The sequence below is a fragment of the Homo sapiens genome, chromosome 20, assembly GCF_000001405.40.
Source record: "Homo sapiens chromosome 20, GRCh38.p14 Primary Assembly".
Taxonomy (NCBI): domain Eukaryota; kingdom Metazoa; phylum Chordata; class Mammalia; order Primates; family Hominidae; genus Homo; species Homo sapiens.
The window spans coordinates 43519392-43540559 of NC_000020.11; the positions used below are offsets into that span (position 1 = coordinate 43519392).

At 49.1% G+C, this 21168-nt stretch overlaps 1 protein-coding gene and 1 pseudogene across 17 annotated transcripts in view; one reads left to right on the forward strand and one right to left on the reverse strand.

Moving 5' to 3' along the window:
* Positions 1-21168, forward strand: part of L3MBTL1 (L3MBTL histone methyl-lysine binding protein 1) — a 43258-nt gene that overhangs the window by 11695 nt on the left and 10395 nt on the right. For 8 of the 17 annotated variants that reach the window (NR_165189.1, NM_001377306.1, NM_001377311.1 and 5 more), the window contains 13 exons: positions 9266-9354; positions 9873-9977; positions 10893-11028; positions 11407-11498; positions 13382-13533; positions 13951-14027; positions 14617-14702; positions 14893-15003; positions 15437-15551; positions 16446-16545; positions 16706-16903; positions 17018-17067; positions 20760-20917. Coding sequence is in view for 9 of the 17 variants with exons in the window: in NM_001377306.1 (NP_001364235.1) it covers positions 9266-9354; positions 9873-9977; positions 10893-11028; positions 11407-11498; positions 13382-13533; positions 13951-14027; positions 14617-14702; positions 14893-15003; positions 15437-15551; positions 16446-16545; positions 16706-16903; positions 17018-17067; positions 20760-20917 (1469 nt within the window). In the remaining 8 variants the exon portion in view is untranslated. Of the gene's footprint in view, positions 1-9265; positions 9355-9811; positions 9978-10892; positions 11029-11406; positions 11499-13381; positions 13534-13950; positions 14028-14616; positions 14703-14892; positions 15004-15354; positions 15552-16445; positions 16546-16690; positions 16904-17017; positions 17068-20630; positions 20918-21168 lie in introns of all 17 variants that reach the window. The other 9 variants (NM_001377307.1, NM_001377309.1, NR_165190.1 and 6 more) reach the window with 7 other exon arrangements.
* LOC107985380 (transmembrane protein 14C-like) lies at positions 3853-4181 on the reverse strand (annotated as a pseudogene).

Here is a 21168-nt window from a genome sequence, read left to right on the forward strand (position 1 = left end):
TTTGGGAGGCCGAAGCGGGCAGATCACCTGAGGTCGGGAGTTCGAGAGCAGCCTGACCAACATGGAGAAACCCCATCTCTACTAAAAATACAAAATTAGCCAGGCATGGCGTCGCATGCCTATAATCCCAGCTACTTGGGAGCCTGAGGCAGGAGAATCGCTTGAACCTGGGAGGCGGAGGATGCAGTGAGTTGAGATCGTGCCATTGCACTCCAGCCTAGGCAACAAGAGCAAAACTCCATCTCAAAAAAGAAAAAGAGATGAGGTCTTGCTGTATTGCCCAGGCTGGAGTACAGTAGTGATTCACAATGCAGTCATAGCACGTTGTAGCCTCAAACTCCTGGGCTCAAGGGATCCTTCTACTTAAGCCTTCTGAGTAACTGGGACTACAGGCACCCTGCTCTTGGTTTTTTGTTTTTTCTAAATGGTGTCTTTTAAGGAGCAGAAAGTTCGTTTTGATGGTGCCCAATTTGTCAATTTTTTAATGATTAGTGCTTTTTCCATACATTTTTATAAGGTACCGGTTCTTAATAGCTTTACTGAGATACAATTCACACACCATACAATTCATCCATTTGAAGTGTACAATTCAGTGGGGTTTTTTTTTGGTGTATTCACAGAGTTCTGTAACCATCACCAAAACATTTCCATCACTCCCAAAAGAAGTCCTATATATCTATTAGCCATCATTCCCCCTAAAGACCACCAGCAGTCTGCTTTCTGTATACCAGATTTGCCTATTTTGGACATTTCATATAAATGGAATTATATATTGTGGTTTTGTATGCCTGGCTCTTCACTTAGCACAATGTTTTCAAGGTTTACATATTTTAGGCTGTATGTGCTTCTTTTTATTGCTGAATAATATTCCATTGTATGGGCATACCACACTTTGTTTATTCATCAGTTGATGGACATATGGATTGCTTCTACTTTTGCGCTATTATGAATAATGCCAGTATGAACATTTGTATACAAGTTTTTGTGTGGACATATGGACTCATTTTTCTTGGGTATATACTTAGGGGTGGAATTGTTCAGCCATATGGTAACTCCATGTTTAGCCTTTTGAGGAACTGTCACACTGTTTTTCAAAGTGTCTGTACCATTTTACATTCCCACCAGCAGTATATGAGGATTCCAGTTTATCCCCATCTTCACCAATGCTTGTTATTATCTTTTTTATTATGGTCATTCTAGAGGTTATCAAGTGGTATCTCATTGTGGTTTTGATTTGCATTTCCCTGATGGCTAATGATGTTAGCATGTTTTCATGTGCTTATTTGCCATTTATATATTTTCTTTGGAGAAATGTCTATTCAGATCCTTGCCCATTTTTAAATTGGGTTTAAAAAACAGATTTTATATTGAAATACAAGGACTGCCATATGGAGTTGGTGAACAAGTTGAGAATATGAGTGTGTAATTCAGTACCAGACATGGATCAGCATGCTACTTAAAGCAGCACTTACTTAACTGTGGTCCTTAATCTAAGTTTACATGCAAAATTCTGTGACTTGTTTATGTGAATTGTCCATGGCTTTCATTACATTTTCAAAAAGGGTCCATTTATACTTCCTAGAAACCAAAGGCAATTTTAATGGCTGACACCAGGTAAACAATAGACTATAACATTTTGGAGCCCAGCCTCTTCAGTTTGGTGTTCCCAGGCGTAGATCCCTATAAGGCACATGTTAAACATAAGTATCAGGCTCTTGGTTAAACTTTCAGTGTCTTAAAATGAACTAATTATGAATTGGCTAATCATGCTCTATAGGAGAGGCAAACACACAAATATCTCTGTAGCAAATTGAAAGCAAAAAGACCCAGCACATAGTGGTACCCTGATGACTGCTTGTAATTAATTGATTCTTGAATCTTGGCATTCTGTTCTTCCCTTTACATTTTCTGTAGACATTGTAGTGAAAGGTCTGACTAGAGCCATTAATTTTTTAATTATCTATACTGAGATAACTGAAAGTATGCTGAAGAAGCTTCCCGAAGGAATAAGAAAGGAAAGAAGATGGGAGGGAAGTACTGTGTTGGTTTCTAGGTTTGCACCATTGAGGAGCAGGGTTGAGGCAGGAGGAGAAAGAAGAATAGAGCTAAGAGAGTGTGGTAAGAAAGAAATGCCAAGATGGAATGGGTGGTTGGGAGCACGTGAAGATCAAGAGTTGAAGAATAAGAATAGGTCATTGGATTTTGACCTTAGTAACTGAAGAGAGCAATTTCACTAGTGTGTAGAGGTAGGCATGAGACTAGGTGATTAAGAAAGGAATTCATCAAAAGGGCGTAAAGTTCATAATACCCCCTTTTAATTATTTTATTTTTTATCATTATTTTTAGAGACAGGGTCTTACTGTGTTGCCCAGACTGGCCTTAAACTCCTGAGTGCAAGCGATCCTCCTGCCTCAGCCTTCTGAGTAGCTGGGACTGCAGGCATACGCCACTGCACCTGGCTCCCCTTTTTTATTTATAGTAAACTTTATTTTCACTGATACTCCATTTAACGTAATTTCAAAGTAGCTCTGTGCCCTAAGATGAGCAAAAGAACAGATATCCTAAATATCATAAGAGATTTTCTTCACACTGTTCCTCTGAGCACAGCATGAGGTTTCAGAGCCCCCAGTGTTGCCACTTAACATTTTATTCCTTGAGATTTTACCTATAAGATACAGAAAGAGGCCAGGTGCAGTGGCTCACGCCTATAATCCCTGCACTTTGGGAGGCCGAGGCGGGTGGATCACGAGGTCAGGAGATTGAGACCATCCTGGCCAACATGGTGAAACCCCATCTCTACTAAGAATACAAAAATTAGCCAGGCGTGGTGGCGTGCCCCTGTAGTCCCAGCTACTCAGGAGGCTAAGGCAGGAGAATCACTTAAACCCGTGAACCGGAGGTTGCAGTGAGCTGAGATCGCTTCACTGCACTCCAGTCTGGGCGACAGAGCAAAACTCCGTCTCAAAAAAATGATACAGAAAGAAGATATAATATCAATACACAAGAATCAAACTGTATTAGGGTATCTGTGGGATTGTAATGGTAACTGAATTTTTCCCTGCTAAGTTTTTTTTTTTTTTTTTTTTTTTTTTTTTTTGGAGACAGGATCTGGCTCTATCACCCAGGCTGGAGTGCAGTGGTGCGATGTCCGCTCACTGTGACCCCCGCCTTGCAAGACTCAAGCCATCCTCCCTCCTTAGCCTTCTGAGTAGCTGAGACTACAGGCGCACACCACCGTGCCTGGCTAATTTTTGTATTTTTGTAGAGACAGGGTTCCGCCATGTTGCCCAGGCTAGTCTCAAACTCATGATCTCAAGCTGTCCGTCCGCCTTGGCCTCCCAAAGTGCTAGGATTACAGGCATGAGCCACTGTGCCCGGCCAACGGTGTCTTTTTTTTTTTTTTTTTTTTCCTAAAGTAAAATGTCAGATGGCCGGGCATGGTAGCTCACCTCTATAATCCCAGCACTTTAGTAGGCCAAGGCAGGTGGATCACTTGAGCTCAGGAGTTTGAGACCAGCCTGGTTAACATGGCGAACCCCGTCGCTAATAAGAATACAAAAAAAAAAATTAGCTGGGCATGGTGGTGCACGCCTGTAATCCCAGCTACTCAGGAGGTTGAGGCAGGAGAATCACTTGAACCTGGGAAACGGAGGTTGCAGTGAGCCGAGATCCGCCACTGCACTCCAGCCTGGGTGACAGAGTGAGACCCTGTCTCAAAAAAAAATAATAAAAATAAATAAAGTAAAATGTCAGAATATGCAAAAATGCTGTACTTATTTCTGTTAATACCTTGAAAATAGTGGAAGTTTGAAGATTTTTAATTCTTAAAGAGTCCAAGCTGGAAGATGACTGCTACTGATGGGGTTTGTTCAACGTACTGATTCCAAGCTTGGCGACCATCAGCAAACTGGTACCTGCAATTAAACCTGGAGACATAAATTTTCCAGAGTGGTAGAATCTCATTCCCATAATGCCAGCCAAGGTCTCAGACGTAGCAAGGAAAACCCAAGCATCCCTTGGATCCTGAGAGCTGATAAGCACCCAGGCCTGTTAAACCCCCAGAGAGGAATAGCATTCTACCTGCTTTTGCATAGTCAGTGATCCCTCCAGAGGCAACCAGTGCTGCGTAGCCAAAACCCAAACCAGTGCAAAGGCACTAGTGGACCAGTATCCTGCGGCATTGTTCTCTTCTCACCCTGTCCTGTGCAGACAGTAGACTATAGCAGGCCTGCATTTGCACCGCTCTCCTGAAGGTCTGTACTGGTCAACAAGATCTCCTTATCCTTTTAATATCTATAGGACATTTTTAAATTTCTCTTATTTTCTTTTTATTTTTAACTTTTTTTAAAGATAGAAATAGGGGAGGCCAAGGCGGGCGAATTGCCTGAGGTCAGGAGTTTGAGACCAGCCTGGCCAACGTGGTGAAACCCCATCTCTACTAAAAATACAAAAAATTAGCTGGGTGTGGTGGCGCATACCTGTAATCCCAGCTACTCGGGAGGCTGAGGCAGGATAATCACTTGAACCGGGGAGGCGGAGGTTGCAGTGAGCTGAGATCGTGCCACTGCACTCCAACCTGGGTGACAGTGAGACTCCATCTCAAAAAAAAAAAAAAAAAAGAAACAGGATGTCACTATGTTGGCCAGGCTGGTCTGGAACTCCTGGCCTTAAGCAATCCTCCTACCTCAGCCTCCCAGAGTTTTTCTTTGTTTATTAATCAGTCTTTCCAGAAACTTACTAATTTTATTTGTCTTTTAAAAAAAATTTATTTCCATTTTCTTTGGGTTAATTTTACTTTTCTAACTTCATGAGACAGATTTATTTTGATTTTTAAATTTCATTAATTTTAGCCATCCTCCTTTTCTAATATGTTTATTTAAGGCTGTCATTTTCCTCTAAATACTGCTTTGGCTGCATCTCAGTTTTTGATACATAGTTATTTCCATCGTTGTTCTTTTATTTAACAAATACTAAGTGCCTCCTATGTACCAGATAGTGGGCTAGATACTAAGAGTTCAGAGTAAGCAAAACACAGTACTAGCACTTAATGAGCTCATAATCTAGTTGCAGAAATAGATATGTCAACAGATTATTATGTAACCATATAATAAGTGTTATGTTTGAGGTATGTAAATACAAGGGGCTGTCACAGAACAAACTCTGCCTGCTGGAGTATAGAAAGGTTCCATGGGGTAGATGGGATGATATTCATCCATCCATCCACTCATCCATCCATCCATCCTTATAGTCATTTAACAAGCATTTGTTGTGCATCTATTTTATGTAAGTCTTGTGCTAGGTGCTGGAACTATGGCTACGTCTTGAAGGATGTGAAAAAAATAGGCTAATAGAACAAGGTGGGGGTGGGATTTTAAAGCAGAAGTATCAACCTATGCAAAGGCACAGAGGCTCAGGGGCATGGAAATGCATGATGAAGCTGGCATGATGGGGAGTAGCTAGTTCACCAAGGCTGTGTGTGGTGTGGAAAGGTGTTTAGATTTTGGGGTTTTGGGTTGGAAATGAGAAGCCATGGAACTTAAAGAAAATAAACACGTTTTTTCATTTGATATGTATTCTGGCAGTAGAATAAGTGTGAGGCAGAGACCAGTTAAGAGGCTTTTGGACTAGGCTCAAAGCAAGGACAGTAAATGTGGAGAGATGGATATAGATCCAAGAGATAACTAGGAGTTGGAATCAGTAGAATGGAAGGATCCTGGGGAGTTAAAAAAAAAAAAAAAGGCATAAAGTATCACTTCCAAGTTTCTGGCTTGCGTGACTGGATGAATGGATGGTGGCGCCATTGACTAGGGTAACGAATACCGAAAGGGCCACAGGCTTTGGCAGAGAAGTTACAAGTTTGGTTTTAGATCAGGCTGAGCTTGCCAAAGAAAGTGCTATCCAAGAGCATCTGGTCTAAGGAAGCAGGAATAAACAAAGGAGCATTTCTGGAAGTGGAGAGAGGATCAGTGCCACCGCTAGCCAATATGGTACCTTTGTACAAGTTATTAAAAAAAAAAGCATCTCTCCAGGGCAGACCAATTAGAAAAGGGCAACCTTTCTTCACAGTAGACTCAGCCACTTGGCTTGGCAGAAAGCCCAGGATGGATTTTAGCCCCATTCACACCCTTGGCTGGGTACCTATGTATAGTGCACAGATTATACAACCATACACAGGAGCCTTGGGACTTACTTGGGTTTAGGGATATGCCTAAGAGCTCAGCCCATTGTTCAACAATAGAAAAAGGAGGCAGGAAACTGAATTTGGCTGGGGGTGTTGGTCAGGGAAGGAATCTAGTAATTGCTGAAGGATTTGGTGGTCAGGCCTCTTTCCAGTGGATTACATTGAATCTTGTCCTCACCCGTGAAAGGGGTTACTATGAGCCCTCCCTATCATCTAAGGGCATTATGAGGACTCAAGGAGACCATGTATATGAAGTCTTTCCGGCATCTCTGTACCCCCAATTTCTAGTACCAGACATGGCACACAGGTTTAACCATTAAATGGTAAAAGGAATGGTGAAGGTCAAATGAAGAGGTGCATAGTGGTAAACTGAAGAATGTATACTTGGTAAGTGTTGTGACTAGTGAGCAAATATGAAGATAGTACAGGCCCAGGGAGGGACATCTTCAGGGGACCAGTGGTAAGAGATAATGGCAGATAAAGAGGGTGTTGGTCAGAGGTGTCTGCTGTGGCATGGGGGTCTCAGAGCTTGGTCTCTGGAGTATGGGTAAAGGGAAGCAAGCTGAGAATTGAAGCACCAAAGAGCAGCAGAGGCGCCTGAGACAAGAAATCTGGCAGGTAGTCAGCCCCTTAGCTGATGTTACGGTTTGGGAAGAGTGAGGCAAAAAGAAGAAAGTCATCCAGGGAGGAAGAAATGGCTGTTGGGAAGGGTTCTGTCATAGTAGAAGAGATTTGGGAAAAGTGAAGAGGTCTTATGCATGATGATGTGGAATCCCAGTGGCAAGAAGCAGCAGGATGATGGCATCCTGAAGTCTACTCTCTCTTCTCTTTGCCCTACTCAGTAAGAATGGAGGAAGACTGAGTGGGAGAACTGGAGGGTTTCTTGAGGGAACATAGTAGGTGATATGTTATACTCAGGACAAAGGATAGCCGGAAGAGATGAGCTCTAGATTGGTTTCCGCGTAGGTCCTTGAGAGTTTGATAGCTTGCTTGATCCATTGATGAACAAAATATCTGTTGTGGCCCAACTGGATCAGGCAGTTGAGATCTCAAGGTTTGGTACAGTGTCTGAGGAATTTAGGCAGCTGCAAGACAGGTGCTTCTAGGCCGAGTGCGGTGGTTCATGCCTGTAATCCCAGCACTTTGGGAGGCCAAGGCAGGCGGATCACCTGAGGTCAGGAGTTACTGGCCAACATGGTGAAACCCCGTCTCTACTAAAGATTTAAAAAATAGCCATGTGTAGTGGTGGGCACCTGTAATCTCTACTCGGAGGCTGAGGTAGGAGAATCGCTTGAACCTGGGAGGCAGAAGCTGCATTGAACTGAGATTGCACCACTGCACTGCAGCCTGGGCGACAGAGTGAGACTCTGTCTCAAAACAGACAAACAAAAACAAAAAACAGGTGCCTCTAGCCACTTAGGTCCCAACTAAAGCAAAAAGGGAAAAAGCATCTTCCTGAGAGACAGACCACTCCAAGCCTGAATTATCCAGGGTAGTAGCCAAGAGAAGCAGAGCTAGAATCCAGTCCTACAGCCTTAGTGAAGACCCAGGAAGCACTGGTAACAGAAGTCCAGCACTCTGTATTTCATAAGGATCTTTTATACATAGATCTGACTTAATCATCATAGTGATCCTGTATGGTGGGTATCTGCATTTCACAGATGACAAAATAGAGGTGTAGAAGTTTCTAGAAGAAGCTGGAGCTATTTACCTAAGGGATATGAATTGATTCTTGTGAGTTGTTACGTCTTTAGTTGTCTGTAGCCTTCGACTGGAGGCAGCTCATGCTAATCTGGTCAGCCTACATGTAACTGGATATTCTAGCCTTTAAAGGGTGTTTGTCCTCTGTTAGAGGCTAGGACTCCACCTCAGGTTAGATTGAAGGTGCTGCAGGAGTATTCATCTCCCTCCCCAGGACCCTGAGACTTGGAGGCATGGACAGGACCTGGGCTGTAGGTCCTGACCATAGTGTATGTGTGTTAGTGTATGTGTGTGTGCACATAGGCTGTGTGTGTGCACATAGGCTGTGTGTGTCTGGGAGGGCTGTGGAATCAGTATATCCACTCTGGGGGTACCCATCAAGCACACATATACACATTTGTGTAAGTCTCTGTAAGTGTTCAGGGGAAGAAGGATCAAAAAAGTGTTTCTTTTTTTTTTTTTTTGAGACAGGGGCTCCCTCTGTCACCCAGACTGGAGTGCAGTGGCATGTTCTCGGCTCACTGCAGCCTCCGCCTCCTGGATTCAAGCAATTCTTCTGCCTCAGCCTCCCAAGTAGCTGGGACTACAGGCGTGTGCCACCACGCCTGGATAATTTTTGGTTTTTTGTTTGTTTTTTGAGACAGAGTCTTGCCCTGTTGCCCAGGCTGGAATGCAGTGGTGCGATCTTGGCTCACTGCAACTTCTGCCTCCCAGGTTCAAGCAATTCTCCTGCCTCAGCCTCCCGAGTAGCTGGGATTACAGGCATGTACCACCACGCCCAACTAATTTTTGTATTTTTAGTGGAGACGGGGTTTCACCATGTTGGCCAGGCTGGTCTCGAACTCCTGACCTCAAGTGATTCACCTGCCTCGGCCTCCCAAAGTGCTGGGATTACAGGCGTGAGCTACCATGCCCAGCCGTGTTTCTTGTTTCTCCCAACCCTTCCACTTCTTCCTATTTTCATGTTTTCTCTCTCATTTCTCTTTTTCCTCTCCTTTCCTTGTGAGTTTAGATGGCATTGTGATTAAGTTCTCTGGCACAGGACTTGTCACTCAGCTTTGTCATGTCAGAGGACAGGGTCCCTCTGTGGCTGAGACTTTGTAACTTCAGTCAGTTGCTGAATAATCCAGAGTACTTCTGCTGACAGTGGCCTGAGCGGGTGGGGGGGAAGTGACGGGCAGAATTTGGTGTAGCCACACCTGAGACTGAGCCTCCCCTCAGCCCCGTGTCTGGCACCATCATGGTGGGTGGGACCAGAGGGTACATGTGAACACAGACAAAGATTTGTTTTGGGGGTGAAGGTAGAGCTTGGTCAGGGGAAGCCGAAGAAAGTCATATATCAGGAACAGCCCAGGAGTTAGCCTGTCTGTCCCCTTTCCACAGCAACAGGTGAGAAGAAGGAATGCTGGTCGTGGGAGTCCTACCTAGAGGAGCAGAAGGCCATTACTGCTCCAGTCAGCCTCTTCCAGGACGTGAGTTGGACAATTTCCCCGTAGGAACAGCTTGTCTTCCTAGCCTAGGGACACACCACCAACCTCAGGCCTTCTGGCGTTTTCTGTGTCAGGCATGCCTCAGTGGACTGGCAGAATGGAAAGGGAGAGACTGTTTAGGGGCCCAGAGTGGAAAAGGGCCCCCCATAAGGGGCTGGCAGGGTGGGAAGAAACAGAGAGGTGGAAGCTAGGCTCACTCATCACTGGGCCTGCAGACTTTTGAATTCTGGTGACTTCTACTCAATTCAGCATTGATCTTTCCATGACTTTGGTGAGAGGGAGCCCTTGAGTCCAGCCCTGACTCACCCACATTTTTCAAGGGACCTGGGAGATATTCTCTCTCTCTCTCTCTAGATCCCTGTAGTAACGATCCCCAAATAAGTTGCCCCTTTGGAAATACCAGGCGGGTGGGGCCTAAAGGCAGCTCCTTCACCCCAAGCCCACTAGGCAAGGATAAGGCTGGATGGAAGCTGGGTCCTCTCCACTCTGTGCGTTGACAGTCCCAGGCAGTCACTCACAACAAGAATGGCTTCAAACTGGGCATGAAGTTGGAAGGCATTGACCCTCAACACCCGTCCATGTACTTCATCCTCACCGTGGCTGAGGTGAGCTGGGGCTTGGTACCACCTTTCTGATGATGTCTCTCAGTGCAGATTGATGGATCTTGCTGGGGACATAGAAGGAAACACCTCCCTCCCCTCAGAGCACACACAATCTAGTAGTGGATGAAGCTGGAATACATAGAAAGCTTAAAACAACAAAAACCAGATGGAGTTCATGGGACAGTCCTATTATTGGATGAATGTATACTGTCCACTCTGGGGGAGCTTGAGGAGATCCCGAGGGCCAGGGATGTTGGCATGAGTCAAACAAGGTCCTTGTCCTCTAGGAGCTCACAGTTGTCTGGGGAATCAGCCAAATAAACATGTCAGTGACATGCCACAGGGGTGGCAGCAGACTTGAGCTGGGAGGCACAGTTGGGTCAGTTCTGTCTGAGGAGCAGCAAAAGCATAGAGGAAGGGCCTCCTTTGCAGAGTCTTGAGAGATAAGTTGTGAATAAGGAGGGAGCTCCAGGCAGAAGGAGCAAAGTGGGCAAAAGCCCTGGGGCATGGAACAGACTGCTACCTTCAAGGAATTGCCACTAGCTCAGCAAGACTGGAAGCAGAGTGCGAGTGGGGAGCAGTGAGAGAAGGTAGCAGAGGGAGCGGTCATCAGGAGCCCTCAGCAGTCCTGAGCCTTGGTGGCTGCCCTCAGAATTCTGTCCAGGGCTCAAAAGGGCAGGAAGCTGTCATAGGGTCCACCTCCCTTGCATCCAGAACTCAGGGCTCATGAGTACATGAACTGTCCTCACTGTAGAATAGGACAGGGTGGGGTACAATTGGGAGGAAAGAAAGGTGGGGTTGGGGAACCTGCTAGCATTAGAGCCCCTGAGACCACCAGACTGGGCCAGGAGAGGTGAGGCAGATGGGGAGTGGGGCATCTCCTGACATTGGAGTTCCTGATTCCCCTCATGGGGCCAGGTATGTGGCTATCGCCTACGCCTGCACTTTGATGGGTATTCTGAGTGCCATGACTTCTGGGTCAATGCCAACTCCCCTGACATTCACCCTGCTGGCTGGTTCGAGAAGACGGGCCACAAGCTGCAGCCTCCCAAAGGTAAGGCCTAGCTGGGTTGGTCACAGTGAGGCAGTGAGTCCTCAGACCCTTCGCTTCTTCCCCTTGGGTCCCCGGCTTCCAGCTCTTTTGTTTTCTGACCCTGTACCCTGTTCCAAAGCCAGCCTCTCTTCATCGCATCCTGATGACTCTGCGCTGGGGCCAAGTTGACCAGAAGCCCTAGAACTTCCGCTTTGCACTTGCCCTTTGAGTGTCTACTCAAGTCGTGTCCTGCTTCAGTAGTGGGGAATCCCTGGGCAAGTTCTTGAGGGTTGGGGGGAGGTCCTCAGGCATGCCTGATTCTGCTGCTTCACTGTGGGGTGCCCTTGCTGTGGCCCAGCCTCTGCACGGCGCTCTGTTCATGCCCCTCGAGGGGCCTAGGTTACAAGGAGGAGGAGTTCAGCTGGAGCCAGTACCTGCGCAGCACAAGAGCTCAGGCTGCCCCCAAGCACCTGTTTGTGAGCCAGAGCCACGTGAGTGCCCCTGAGTGAGAGTGGATGTCACTCCCATGTGCCAGAGTTCACTGCAGCTGGCCCAGGGTATCTGACTCATCAGAAGGGAGCTCATGTGCTGGTTCTCTCAGCTTTGTTCTGATCTCTCATATCAGATGGGAGGGGTACAGCTGGGCAGGGTCCAGGGCCAGAGATGGGAAGCTGGTTATAGGTTTTTCCCGACTTCCCTCCCTCCTTTGCTACTGCAGATACCCTGTCCTCACATCCCCTTGGAGCCCCTGGCCCACTACCCTAGTCTGAGCACTGAGATGTCATTGCTCATATATTCTTGCTTTGGCTTGCTCTGCAGTTCTTTGGTGTAAGGTCAATGCCTCTATTCTGGGAGCTTCTTTTTCTTTCCTTTTGCCCAACATTGAGACTCTTCCATTTATTTCCAACAATTCATCCCTTGTCCTTTCCTCTGTTCAGGGCAGCTGGCAGCTTATCCAGCAGTTAAAGTATCTCATAATCCCAACCAAAAGGCCTAAGAGATACAGGGAGCCTCCATTAAAAATATCATACTGGACCAGGTGTGGCGGCTCATGCCTGTAATCCCAGCACTTTGGGAGGCTGAGGCGGGTGGATCACCTGAGGTCAGGAGTTCAAGACTAGCCTGGGCAACATGGTGAAACCCCCATCTCTACTAAAAATATAAAAAATTAGCTGGGCGTGGTGGTGGGTGTCTGTAATCCCAGTTACTCAGGATGCTGAGGCAGGAGAATCGCTTGAACCTGGGGGGCGGAAGTTGCAGTGAGCCAAGATCACGCCATTGCACTCCGGTCTCAGCAACAAGAACGAAACTCCGTCTCAAAAAAAAGAAGTATGTATCAGTCTTACTGGCTGGGTGCGGTGGCTCACACCTGTAATTCCAGTACTTTGGGAGGCTGAGGCGGGAGGATCACTTGAGCCCAGGAGTTTGAGACCAGCGTAGGCAACATAGTGAGACCCCATCTGTACAAAAAATGTCATTAAATTATTAGCTGGGCATGGTGCATGTGCCTGTAGTCCTAGATACCACAGTAGCTAGCTGAGCTGGGAGGATTGTTTGAGCCCAGGAATTCAAGGCTACAGCAAGCTATGATTGTACCACTGTACCCCAGCCTGGGCGACAGAGTGAGACCCTGTGTCTAAAGAAAAAAAACCATATTGAATGTCTAGAGTTTCCCTGGGCCCAGGACTCCACCATGCTCTTCAGGCAGAGACAGTTACTCCCCTACCCCAGTCCAGCCCCAGAGTTCATACTTGCAAGTTCCCAGGTGACAGGTGGGGTCCTGCCTGCTGTTGTGACAACGAATGCCGACTTTTAATTCAAACTATTTAAATACTGGCCCCGCCGTTGACTAGCATTGTGTTCTGGGCCAAGTGATTTAACTTCTTAAATGGGAATAGGGTTGTTGTAAAGGTCCAAGGAGGTGATGTCTTTTGAAGCTTACATGGCAGGTACTCAGTTTATACTGGTTCCCTGTCTGCCTCTATGCCATAGATGTCCGCTGTTTCTTCCCAGCCACCCCACTGTTGCCACAACTGCCTCAGGACAAGCTGGGAAGGGCTTGTCTGGGTAGGGAAGATTTATACTTGGTTCACCAGGTTCTTTGGGCGAACGCATAGCCTCCTTCCAGGCACTTACCTTCTGACACAAGCCAGGCCTCTGAGTGCACCTTGGAGGCCAGAGGTTCCTGAGTGCCTCAGGGCTCAGGTTATGATTCTGCCCTGGAGGGCCCTCTTTCCCAGCTTATTTCTCCTTCCTTTCTCACTGCCCACACCCCAGGCTTTCCTAGAGAACCTATTCCTTTGTTTGCCAATGGGCTCTGGGCTGGTCTTAGCCAGCTTGGCCCTGGCCGTGGCAGCTCCTTTTTTTCCCCTAGAGTCCCCCACCCCTGGGCTTCCAGGTGGGCATGAAGCTGGAGGCTGTTGACCGCATGAACCCGTCCCTTGTCTGCGTGGCCAGTGTGACCGATGTGGTGGACAGCCGCTTCCTGGTGCACTTTGACAACTGGGATGATACTTATGACTACTGGTAGTAGGAGGGCCCAGACTTGGCCTCAGGGGGTGAGGGGATGGCAGGGGGCAACTGCTTTCATATCTCAGGTACCATGTGGCACCACTCAGTCCAGTTCTGACATTCAGATCTTCCTCCGGTTGGAAGATAATTGAATTGAGCTTTATCATAAGAAATACAGCTCAATATTAAATGTTTCATCTAAAAATACCATGGTTAAGATGAGCAAGCCCCTATGATTCATGATTTTCCCTTAGATATTATGGTGATGGTAGAGTTTGTAATTCATGTTGCAATTTTCTAACTTTGTCCTTGCCATCTGTCTCCCTCTCACTAAGAAGTAGATGAGGGTGGGCCCTGAGCCATGCTTTCAGAGGATGGCAGGCTCAGGGCCTCAAGTTTCTCTTGGGACAGTGACATGTTCTTGGATTTCAGGTGTGATCCCAGCAGCCCCTACATCCACCCAGTGGGCTGGTGCCAGAAGCAAGGAAAGCCCCTCACCCCTCCACAAGGTGACCCTGCAGCCTGAGCAAGCCCCCTTTCCTAAGCCTGGCTCTGCTTCCCTCTCCACTGACCCCTCACCAGTAGTGCCCCAGTAGCTGGCTCTCTAGGGTCAGGGTGAGAGAACAGACATGTCCTGAAGCCTCAGCTTCTTGGCCTGGGAGTTGAGAACCCTTTGATTTTAGGAGACTCCTGTCAAACCCTGACTCCACTGGGGTTTAGGGGAAGAAAGTTACATGACCATCTCAGCAAGGAAACAGGGAATCAGAAGTAAAGAAAATGAGTCCTTCATCCTGGGAGTATTGCATTGGCCCAAATACAGTAGAGATTCAAATGGGGCTGGGGTGGGAGCAACAGGCCAAGAGTGACAGGAGTCAGGGTTCCCAGACAGCCCTGTGAACTATTAGGGTGGTGCCTTGCTTGGTTCTACTAGCACCCATCTGCCTGAGGAGCCCAGTGCAAGGAGCTGGCTGTGGTGATGGTGGGAGAGATTCTACTCCAAGGGCTTCTGTCCCTTCCATGTTCCTGGTCCTGCTTGGGGGCAGAGGGCTTCCGCAGTACACCTGGGTGGCTAGACATTGCTCTCATCCTCTCCTCCAGACTACCCAGACCCTGATAACTTCTGTTGGGAGAAATATCTGGAAGAAACTGGGGCCTCTGCTGTCCCCACCTGGGCCTTCAAGGTGGTGAGTCAGTGCTCCCTGACCCCAGAGCTGAGCTCAGAAAGACATGGAGCACTCAGCTAGCCAGGCTGGGGCCCTAGCCTTCCCCTTTGGGCAGGCCCCAGTTTCCCCAGGCACAGCATTTGGGCTCCCTCTGTGGGGCTCAGCTCTGCTGAGCTGCGCCTTGCCCTGAAGGCAGCTGTCCCCTCTGCAGCGACCCCCTCACAGCTTCCTGGTCAATATGAAGCTGGAGGCTGTGGACCGCAGGAACCCAGCCCTGATTCGCGTGGCCAGCGTGGAGGATGTGGAGGACCATCGGATAAAGGTGGCTCTGGGACCCTAGGGCTGGGAAGTGGACAGGCCAGTTGGGCAGGAATTCTGTAGACTGTTTAGAGGTCAGGGGCATCATGGCATGAGAGAGATGAAGCCAAAGATCTTGAATCTCATTCTTGCCTCATCTGTGACTTATTTTTGTGGGCTTGGACAAGTCATTTTCCCTCTCTAAGCCTTACATCATCTGTAAAATGGGCCTAATAATCCTCGTCCCACCTAAGGATTGCCAGTGGGAGATGCCAGTAACTTAATGAGTGATGCCCTTGGAAAATGTGGTGGCCAAGACAGATTATTGCAGGGTTGGCCCCTTGGTTCTTTCAATCCAGGATCTTGCTTCTGACAGGTCCCAGGGATGGGGAGAGGACCTTCTGGCTGAGCTGGGCTCCATGAGAAACGCCTGACTTCCAAGAGCCTTTCCTCCCCAGATCCACTTTGATGGCTGGAGTCATGGCTATGATTTCTGGATCGACGCTGACCACCCAGACATCCACCCTGCCGGCTGGTGCTCCAAGACAGGACATCCCCTGCAGCCTCCTCTCGGTGTGTACCCCTAGGGCACTCTGATCTTTTCCTTTCCCCCCAGGTTCTGACAATCCTATAGTTTGCCTACAGAGCTCTGACTCCCCATGCCCAAATATGACACAGAGGGCTCTGATGCCTACCATGAGTTCCAGAATCCCCCATCTGCCCCACCCCCGGACCATCTGCTACACTAAGCAGTGCTTCTGGCTACCCCAGTTGTCGGGGTTTGGGGTGTTGAGGTGCAAAGGGGCAAGCTCACTTGGTTGCATGTGCTTCAGAGGTGGTCAGGCACCCAGGGATTTCTCTCAGCATCTAGCAGAGCCACACTGAGCGTGCACTGTTTGCTAAGGACATGATGGCTTCCTAAAGTAAATTCTGATTGTCTGTGCAGGCAGGGGTTAGAGTTCAGGTCACTGGGCTGCTCAGCCCCATTTTCACCCTTAGGATTTCCCTTCCTTATTTCCCTGCTGCAACCGTGTTTGTCTCACATGGGGTGTTGATCCTTCTTGAATGTTCTCCAAGCATAGGCAGAGCCTTAAAAAAGTTACCAAAGTCTTGGGGATGAAAACAAGAAAAAGAACTGAGAGTGACATGAATCTGCCAGATGTGGCTTCTAAGGTATGGCTACACCCAACCAGCTCTGAGTGGCTCTTCTCCCCCAGAGTTCTCTCAGAGACTGAGGGCATAGCCTGCAGGTTTCAGCAAAGTATTAACATATGAGAGCTAAGCCCTCCTTACCCAGAGAGGGGCAGATATCCAGTAACACAGAATGGTGTCACAGCCAACGCAGGGCCCTCATCCTTGGGGAGTGGGTTTCTAGTGCTGATCTCCCCAGTGGAAACTGCTCCTTCCGTGCCCCACACTCCCCACCCCCAGGACTCCATGAGGACCGCCTCCTTTCTGCTCTTTTAGGACCCAGAGAGCCCAGCTCTGCCTCCCCTGGGGGCTGTCCCCCTCTCAGCTATAGGAGCCTGCCCCACACTAGGACCTCCAAATACAGCTTTCACCACCGGTGAGTGAAGGTTCCTGGTGAGAGACCCTCAGCGTTGTTTTGCACTTACTGCATGCAGGCGACTGGGGTCCACCAAAACACACTCCAGCTGGGACCAGGGCTGAGGAGGGCTCAGCGGGGACCAGTGGATTAAACCCAACTGAAGTCTCTTCTTCCCCAGGAAGTGCCCCACTCCTGGTTGCGACGGCTCTGGCCATGTCACAGGCAAGTTCACAGCTCACCATTGCCTCTCAGGCTGCCCACTGGCTGAGAGGAACCAGAGCCGGCTGAAAGCGGAGCTGTCTGACTCGGAGGCCTCAGCCCGCAAGAAGAACCTCTCAGGCTTCTCCCCAAGGAAGAAGCCTCGCCATCACGGCCGGTATGGAGGCCAGGGAATCAGGGCCCGGGCTTCCTGGGGGTGTGGGGCCTTGTAGCCTCTTGGACTGGGCCAGACACTGATTCCCTGCCATGGACCTGGTCCGTCTTTCTCCAGAATTGGACGCCCTCCGAAGTATCGAAAGATTCCGCAGGAAGATTTCCAGAGTAAGTCTGGGTTATCTGCTCCTATGTCCTCCACCACAGAGTGTTCACAGCGAGTGCTCTGTCATTGGTGGGATGAGACAGATTTCCCAGAGTGGGAGAAGCTAGAAGGAGGGCTGTGCCTCTTCGTTTGAGATACTGAGAGCACAGAGCAGTGGCAAAAGCAGTGGAGGGGCCTTGAGTGACCTTGGGTTCCAATCTCATGTCCCCCATGGCCTTGCTGTGAGTCTGTGGGGAGGGTACAGAGCTTCTCGGGGCCTTTGGTTCTCACTGTGCAGCAAGATGATGCTCCTGCTCTTCTCTGATTCTAGGCTTCCTGGGAAGGAGGCCATGGCCATCACTTTCTACCTGTGTGATCTTAAGCAAGTCACTTAACATCTTTGAGCTTCAGTTTTCTCACTTGAGTAACTGGATAAAACCTGCCTTTCCATTGTCAATACCTGAAATAACAGTGGTTACTACCACTGCTTACTGAGCATCTACTATGGGCCAGGCACTATGCCAGGTTCTTTACACATACTGTGTCTAACTCTCACAAGAGTTCTCTAACATGTATATTGTTCTTCTGTGAGAGGAGGAATGTGAGTCTCAGAGGGTGATGTCACTTGCCCAAGGTCATTCACCTTGTAAGGGGGAGAGCTGGCATTCCAACTCGGATCTGGCCTGACTCCTCCTGCTGCATGCTGCTGGTATAAGAGACATAAAGCACCTAACCCAAATGTCAGTTCACTTCTCACTCCCCTTGCACTAGCGTGCTTGCTGCTGTAACAAAAATACCATAGACTGGGTGGCTTACACAATAGAAATTTATTTTCCACAGTTCTGGAGGCCAGAAGTCCAAGATCAAGGTGTTGGCAGGCTTGATTTCTTCTGAAGCTTCCCTCCTTGGCTTGCAGATGGCTGCCTTCTTGCTGTGTTCTCACATGGTCTTTCTTCTGTGCACAAGCATTCCTGGGGTCCCATGATGTGTCCAAAGTGTCTCTTCTTGTAAGGATACCAATTGAATTGGATTAGGGCCCATCCTAATGACTTCATTTTAACTTAATCACTCTTTAAAGGCCCTTTTTCCAAATGCAGTCCCATTCAGAGGCACTGGGGGTTAGGGCTTCAGCATATGAATTTTGCGGGGACACATTTTAGCCCATAACATACTTCAGCGGGAGGGGCATAGTGGCTGAGCCCTCCCCTAGGTGGTGAATTCATCTTACATCTTCAGCCACTAGTACAGGGCCTGATGCACAGCAGGGACGCCTCAGTTGAATGGAATGCATGTCATTTTAAGGCTAAAAGAGACCTTGAGAAATCACCTGGTTTAGTGCACCTTGGCGAGACCCAAGCTGTCCCAATTCTTCAAGAACAGTCTCTGTAACCTGGGCAGTAAGTAACATAGTGATAAAAAGCATAGCCCTGAAGTCAGACTACCTTTTACAGGCTGAGAGATCTTGGGTGGGTGACACTCCTCTCTGAGCCTCACCTTCCTTATCTGTAAAATGCTGATAATAATCGTACCCACCGTATGATGTGGTGAGAGGCTTAACTGAGATGTTCCATGTGAGGTGCTTAGCACAGCTCCCTGCCAGTATTATTAGTCTGAGTCTCTTGCCTCACTTCCTCTTGCTGTCATCTCATACTGTTTCCTCTTTGTGGGAACAGAAGCAGTTTCTTCAGCCTCAGACCTGAGTGATGAGGGTCTTGGCCAGCACCTAGACCCTCAGAGTAAGGACTCCTAAGGATCAAACTGCAGTGGGCACCTCTTGTACCCATCTGTGGTACCCATGGTCAAGTCCACTGCAGGACCAAGTTCTGACCACCAGAGGGCACTTGCCTACTGTGTTCATCCCAGAATTAGGCTGTAGAATTCTTGGGAAGCTACATCTTTCCAGAGGCTGAGACTATGTCACGGAACTGGCAAAGAAGGGCTCACCCAGATCCTTGAGGCACTTCAAGGATAGAGCAGGGGTCATTGCCCAGGTCTCACTTCCACAGGGCACCCCTGCTCTTCTAGCTGGCCTGTCACCCAGAAGAGCCACTGGTCACTCTGGGTTTTGTTCCAGAGGCAACTTCTTACATACTGGTGGGTAGACCTCCTTAGTGTAGGCTCTGAGGTTTGCTGGTGAACAATTCCATAGGAAGATCTGCCCGGAGAGGACAGGGCTTGGCTGGGCTTAGTCTTTAGGCCTAGGAGTGTCAGCTACTGAAGGAACTGAGGAGCCATGTCTGACCTGCAACTGGATGGTCTGCAGTTAGATAAGACACTGTAACTGCTGGTAAGCACTCCTGGCCTGTGCTCTTCCCTGTGCTCTGGGGAAGAAAGATAAGGAGAAAAGCTCCCTACAAACTTGATGTTGTCTCCCAAACCCCACCCCAGGGTATGAAACCCAGATACAGGGTTTCAGAGAGGGAGTACCTGGGTGTACCAGAGGCCAAACCTGTGGCCAGGTAGATGAGGTGCTAGTGGTGCTAGCTGTCATGAGAGATGCTGAGTGTGCCCCAGACGGGCCATGAGAGGAGCTGGCTGAGCAGGGAGATGGGGCTGTCTGGGGTATGGGCAGGTATTAGGATTTCGCTGATGAACAGAGAGAGCAGCAGGAAGGCAGTGGCACAGAAGTGTGGTTGGTAGGGCTGAGGATGGAATCCCAGAGGCTTTGTGGGTGAATGGAGGTGGAAAAGCCAGGCTGAAAGGCTGACACTCAGGGAGAGAGGGCAGGACAATCTGTGACCAACAGGGAGGGTCTTTGACAAGAGGGCACTTGGAGGTGCTGCATTGATGAGCATCTGGAATTAGCACCAGGAGAATAAAGAGCCAATGCTCCTGGACCATGGACAGAGGCTGGGAAAACCCCTTGGGAAAGTGGCCACATTGCACAAGGCCGGCCAAGGCTGACAGCAGTGAGTGGGGCCAGGTTTGTCAAAGCAGCCAGAGGGGGATGAAGTCCAAGTTGGCACGTGCCAGGCCCCACCAAGGGGGAGGCCAAGCTGAGCAGCATCGGTCATCAGCTCAGTACAGCTGCTTGAGGTAGGAGGTTGGGGCCAGTGATCCCAGAGGCAGACCAGGAAGCAAAGCCACAGGCAACATGGAGCTGGGGAGTGGGTCAGGGATCACCCTCTAGTGCTGGCATAGGCAGTAGTACAGACCGGGCTGGTGGAGGAAGGGGAGGAACTGGAGCTTGAGGCAATGGCAGTGGCCAGAGGGGTGGTCTTCAGCCTGGTCAGGGGGACTGTGATTCTGAAGCAGAATCACCCTGGCTCTGAGAAAGTTGGTCGTGGCCCGGAAGGACTCATGAGAAGAAGAGTAAACAGAGTGGACTTCTGACATCAAGGCTGAGCTTGTTTGGATGTTAAGGACCCTTTTGATGGTTGGCATCTAGAAAATTATGTCTTTAGAGATGCTGCAGCAGCTCCAAGAGAGTATCCTTGCAGGGCCCAGGGTGGTGCAGCCTCAGAGAGACGGGGTGAGGGTCATTCCGAATAGCTGACCTGAGAGTCTTTAAGAGAGTCACTTTACCAGCAGGAGTGAACACTGTGTGAGGAGTCAGGAGATACGGCTCACCCTCTTGACTCTACAGGCTGTCAGAAGGGGCCCGGAGTCCTGTCTACTCTGCCAGCCAGTCTCCTGAGTGGTGTGGGTATGCATGGGCTTCGGGAACAGTTTAGTCATCCTCGTTGGCCTGCCAGCCTCTGCCTCTGCTTTCCAGCCCTCACGCCCGATGTCGTGCACCAGTCCCTCTTCATGTCAGCCCTGTCGGCCCACCCTGACCGCTCACTCTCAGTGTGCTGGGAGCAGCACTGCAAGCTCCTGCCAGGAGTAGCGGGCATCTCAGCCTCGACAGTCGCCAAGTGGACCATCGATGAGGTGAGGAGCGAGGGCCCTTCTTTATCCTTCTCTTCCTCTCCTCCTCCCTCTCACCATACCCTGGTGGAAAGGCCCAGGTCAGGTAGAACCCGGTACCACTCCTGGCACTACCTCTTGCTCATCTGTCCTGTGCACAGTCCCTTCTAGCTGCCCAGTAGGGGCTGACTGAGACCCTTCCTGATAGGTCCATTATGGCAGAGGGGGCGGGGGCTGTGCTGCTGTTTCAGCCAGAAATCCAGCAGGAGAGGCAG